The 5,546-nt window shown below is 35.4% G+C and overlaps 1 protein-coding gene across 2 annotated transcripts in view; it reads left to right on the forward strand.

Moving 5' to 3' along the window:
• Nucleotides 1-5,546, forward strand: part of PIK3CA (phosphatidylinositol-4,5-bisphosphate 3-kinase catalytic subunit alpha) — a 91,968-nt gene that overhangs the window by 80,422 nt on the left and 6,000 nt on the right. For both annotated transcript variants that reach the window (XM_006713658.5, NM_006218.4), the window contains exons 18-20: nucleotides 725-895; nucleotides 1,457-1,574; nucleotides 1,678-1,829. In XM_006713658.5, coding sequence (XP_006713721.1) covers nucleotides 725-895; nucleotides 1,457-1,574; nucleotides 1,678-1,829 — 441 coding nt within the window. The remainder of the gene's footprint in view (nucleotides 1-724; nucleotides 896-1,456; nucleotides 1,575-1,677; nucleotides 1,830-5,546) is intronic.

The following is a 5,546-nucleotide window of genomic DNA, read 5'->3' on the forward strand; positions in this document are numbered from 1 at the left end:
CCTATCTTTGTGAGGCCAGATTTTCTTTTTATACTTTAATTAAAACATTGCATTAGATTGCATACAAAAGCATATATGAGAATCCAGCTGGGTACTATGAAGCCAGACATTTAAAAATTTTTTTAAATGTGAAAGAATTTCACTCTTCTCACTAAATTTTTTAAATGCATTTTTTGTTTCATGAAATATGTTACTTATATTAACATGTCATAGTTTGTTGCTTTTAAATGAATTAGTAAATATTTAAAATTTTTATTTTCCCTATTTCAATTTCTAATATCATTAGATGTAATTCACATAACTAAAAGCTCTTTGGAGTCCTCAGTAATTTCTACAAGTGTAAAGGAGTCCTGAGACCAAAATTGAGAACTTCTGCCCTACAGTTTTATTTCGATGTCAATTAAACATCTTTAAATTAACACATATTTTTAAAATCATAAATGTTTGTAAAATTTTAATTGCCACAATAATTTTCTTAATTCTTTTCTGATAAAAATACAGTGCTTTCTCAGTTGAAGGTTATAATAAATGATGACAGGTAATTTTGAGGATTATTCCAGGAGTATGTTTATCACACCATAAAAAAGAAAATTAAAATTGGGGAAAGGCAGTAAAGGTCATGCATGACAAATTTACTAATAAAATACTCATGTTTTAGCCTGTTAAAACATTTGCTATTTTAAAATTCCATCATTTAATTGTAAACGTGTTACTCCTCTTTCAGAATGTTACCTTATGGTTGTCTGTCAATCGGTGACTGTGTGGGACTTATTGAGGTGGTGCGAAATTCTCACACTATTATGCAAATTCAGTGCAAAGGCGGCTTGAAAGGTGCACTGCAGTTCAACAGCCACACACTACATCAGTGGCTCAAAGACAAGAACAAAGGAGAAATGTGAGTTGTATTATTCTTTCTTCCTATGTTAATCTAAGTTTTTGTTAGATGAGTCTGTCGGTGTTTGTGTATTCCTCTGAGTTAGAACAGAGAAAACAATTGTACTTTCTATGGAAAAAAATATGCTCAACCTTTGAAATATTTGATGTTAATGGATTTAAATGATTATAATTACTTTTAATTTGGTAAAATCTTAAACATTCATCTTATGTATTATCTAAAATGTATTGTTATTGCTTATTCTTTTTAAAACAAATGAATATTGCACATTCAAAATTTTATTTCTAATTCATTGTTAAAATGATTAGAAAAAAATAATTTTAATGACATGCTAAGTATTTTTTCACATGAAGAATTATGCTTTGGTCAGGGAACATCTGGAAATTTCCTTAGAAACCCATGAAAACTTCACAATCTCAAAATCTTTGGACATAATTTCCTTATTCGTTGTCAGTGATTGTTTTCATTGTTTAAATGGAAACTTGCACCCTGTTTTCTTTTCTCAAGTTGGCCTGAATCACTATATTTCCATACTACTCATGAGGTGTTTATTCTTTGTAGATATGATGCAGCCATTGACCTGTTTACACGTTCATGTGCTGGATACTGTGTAGCTACCTTCATTTTGGGAATTGGAGATCGTCACAATAGTAACATCATGGTGAAAGACGATGGACAAGTAATGGTTTTCTCTGTTTAAAATGTTTTGGTGTTCTTAATTTATTCAAGACATTTTGTATCTGCATATATCAAACTATAACATAATTTCTTATTTTTGAAAGCTGTTTCATATAGATTTTGGACACTTTTTGGATCACAAGAAGAAAAAATTTGGTTATAAACGAGAACGTGTGCCATTTGTTTTGACACAGGATTTCTTAATAGTGATTAGTAAAGGAGCCCAAGAATGCACAAAGACAAGAGAATTTGAGAGGTGAGCTCGAGCAATTAAAAACACAAAATAAAGAGTTCTGGCTGCTCTATTAGAAACAATCAATATTTTTCAAGCAATTTCAAAATAATAAATGTTGGCTGGGTGTGGTGGTTCATGCCTGTAATCCCAACTCTTTGGGAGGCCGAGGCTGGAGGATCACTTGAGCTCAGGAATTGAAACCAGCCTGGGTAACATAGAGAGAATTCATGTCTACAAAAAAATTTAAAAAGTAGCCAGGCGTGGTGGCATGCACTGTAGTCCCAGCTACTCAGGAGGCTGAGATGGGAGGATCACTTGAGCCCAGGAGGTTGAGGTTGCAGTGAGCCATTATCACGCCACTGTACTCCAACCTGGGCAACAGAGTGAGACCCTGTATCAAAATAAATAAAATGAAATAATAGAAGTTCTTTTACCACTTCAGCAAAAACTATTTTTTGTTTGTTTTTTATTCTATCTTATTTCAATAGCTTTTGGGGTACACGTGGTTTTTGATTACATGGATGAATTAAATAGTGGTAAAGTCTGAGATTTTAGCGCACCTGTAACCCAAGTAGTGTGCTTTGCCCCCAGTATATACTTTTTTATCCCTCACTGTTCTTCCCACCGTCTCCCATCTGAGTCTCTGTAGTCCATTATATCACTCTGTATGCCTTTGTGTACCTATAGCTTAGCTCCCACTTACAAGTGAGAACATACTGTATTTTCAGGTTTTCCATTCCTGGCCTCCAGCTCCATCCCAGTTGCTGCAAAAGACATTATTTCATTCTTTTCTGTGGTGGAGTAGTATTCTGTGGTGTATATGTACACTTTCTTTATCCACTCATTGGTCAGTGGGTACTTAACGTTGGTTTCATATCTTTGCAATTGTGAATTGTGCTGCAGTAAACATACGATATGCATGCAGATGCCTTTTTGATATAATGACTTCTTTTCCTCTGGGTAGAGGGATTCCTGGACCAAATGGTAGATCTACTTTTAGTTCTTTAAGAAATCTCCATACTGTTTTCCATAGAGGCTGTACTAATTTACATTCCCACCAGGAGTGTATAAGCATTCTCATTTCACCACATCCATGTCAACATCTGTTGTTTTTTGACTTTTTAATTATGGCCATTCTTGCAGGAGTAAGGTGGTATCTCATTGTGGTTTTAATTTGCATTTCCCTGATGATTAATGATGTTGAGCATTTTTTCATGTTTGTTGACCATTTATATATCTTCTTTTGAGAATTGTCTATTCATGTCCTTAGCCCACTTTTTTTTTTTTTTTTTTTTTTTTTTTTGAGATGGAGTCTCACTCTTGTTGCCCAGGCTGGAGTACAATGGCATGATCTCAGCTCACCGCAACCTCCACCTCCTGGGTTCAAAGCAATTCTCCTGCCTCAGCCTCCCAAGTAGCTGGGACTACAGGCACATGCCACCACACACGGCTAATTTTTGAATTTTTAGTAGAGACGGGGTTTCACCATGTTGGTCAGGCTGGTCTTGAATTCCTGACCTCAGGTGATCCACCCGCCTCAGCCTCCCTAAGTGCTGGGATTACAGGCTTGAGCCACTGCATCCTGCTTTAACCCACTTTTTGATGGGATTCTTTGTTTCTTGCTGATTTGAGTTCCTTATAGATTCTGGATATTAGTCCTTTGTCAGATGCATAGTTTGGGAATATTTTCTCCCATTCTACGGGTTGTCTGTTAACTTTGATGATTCTTTCTTTTGTTATGCAGAGGCTTTTTAGTTTAATTAGGTCCCATTTATTTTGTTTGTTTTTGTCGCATTTGCTTTTGGGGTCTTAGTCATTTATTATTTGCCTAGGCCAGTGTTTAAAAGAGTTTTTCCTAAGTTATCTTCTAGAATTTTTATGGTTTCAGGTCTTAGATTTAAGTCTTCGATCCATCTTGAGTTGATTTTTGTATAAGGTGAGAGACAGGGATCCAGTTTCATTCTTTTACATGTGGCTAGCTAGTTTTCCCACCACCATTTATTAAACAGAATGTCCTTTCTCCAATTTATGTTTTTATATGTCTAAGATCAGTTCGTTGTAAGTTTTTGGCTTTATTTCTAGGTTCTCCATTCTGTTCCATTGGTCTGTGTGTCTGCTTTTGTGTGTATCTGCTGTTTTGGTAATTATAGTTTCCTGGTATAATTTGAAGTCCAGTAATGTGATGCCTCCAGATTTGTTCTTTTTGCTTAGTCTTGCTTTGGCTATTCAGACTCTTTTTGGTCGGTTTTATATGAATTTTAGGATTTTTTTTTCTAATTCTGTGAAAAATGATGGTGACAGTGTTTTGTAGTTTTCCTTGAAAAGATCTTTCACCCCCTTGGTTAAGTACATTCCTAGGTATTTTTTTGAAGCTAAAAGGGCTTGTGTTCTTAATTTGATTCTCAGCTTGGTTGTTGTTGGTGTATAGCAATGCTGCTGATTTGTGTACACTGATTTTGTAACCTGAGACTTTACTGAATTCATTTATCAAATCTAGGAGTCTTTTTTTTTATCTTTTTTAAGACAGAGTCTTGCTCTGTCCCCCAGGCTAGAGCGTAGTGGTGCGATCTCAGCTCACTGCAACCTCCACCTCCTGGGTTTAAGCAATTCTCCTGCCTCAGCTTTCCAAGTAGCTGGGATTACAGGCATGCACCACCATGCTCAGCTAATTTTTATATTTTTTAGTAGAGATGGGGTTTCACTTTGTTGGCCAGGCTGGTCTTGAACTCCCAATCTCGGGTGATCCTCCTGCCTCGGCTTCCCAAAGTGCTGGGATTATAGAAATGAGCCACCACACCTGGCTGAAATCTAGGAATTTTTTGGAGAACTCTTGGGTTTTCTAGGTATATGATTATGTCATTGGTAAACAGCTATAGTTTGACTTCCTCTTTTCCAATTTGGATGCCAATGTGGGCTTCCTTGTCTTGTTCTAGTTCTCAGGGGGAGTGCTTTCAGCTTTTCCCCATTCAGTATGATATTGGCCGTGGGTTTGTCACATGACTTTTATTATTTTGAGGTAAGTCCCTTCTATGCCTAGTTTGTTGAGTGAAAAACTATTTTAATTTTTTTTTTTTGTATTTATTTGTGTGATGCTGTGAAGGAAAATGGAAAGGGAATACAATTTAATTTGTTGAGCTAATTAAGGCCTAAAAAGAAAGTAATCCTTAAACTTCATAACACATTAAAGGTTTTTATTTACTGAGCTTTAAATAGTTGGACTCCACCTCTATATTGACAAATAATGTATAGTGCTTAATACGACATTTTTTGGTCATACACTTTGAGGAAAGTCAGTCAACCATAATCACCTTGTTTATTCATAACTTTTTTACCACCTTATGGTATCTCATTAGACTATATCAGACTTTAAAGTACTTTTTACAATCTTCTATAAAATTCTGCTTTGTCTACAACACAGTCCTGACTCTAGCTTAAGCACAAAAGGATTTAGTATGAACCAATTCATACATTTAATACTTATTAAACTCCTGACATGCCAGGCATTGTTGTAGGTGCTGGTAATAAAGCAGTTTTTAAAAAGTCCTTATTCTCTTGAAGTTTACATTCTAGTGGGGTAAAGGGAATCAAAAGATGTTGGTAAGAGAAGTGAGAGAGGAATGCTATTTTTTTATAGCTTTGTCTACGAAAGCCTCTCTAATTTTGTGACATTTGAGCAAAGACCTGAAGGTATTAACATCATTTGCTCCAAACTGACCAAACTGTTCTTATTACTTATAG

Source organism: Homo sapiens, chromosome 3 (assembly GCF_000001405.40).
Source record: "Homo sapiens chromosome 3, GRCh38.p14 Primary Assembly".
Taxonomy (NCBI): domain Eukaryota; kingdom Metazoa; phylum Chordata; class Mammalia; order Primates; family Hominidae; genus Homo; species Homo sapiens.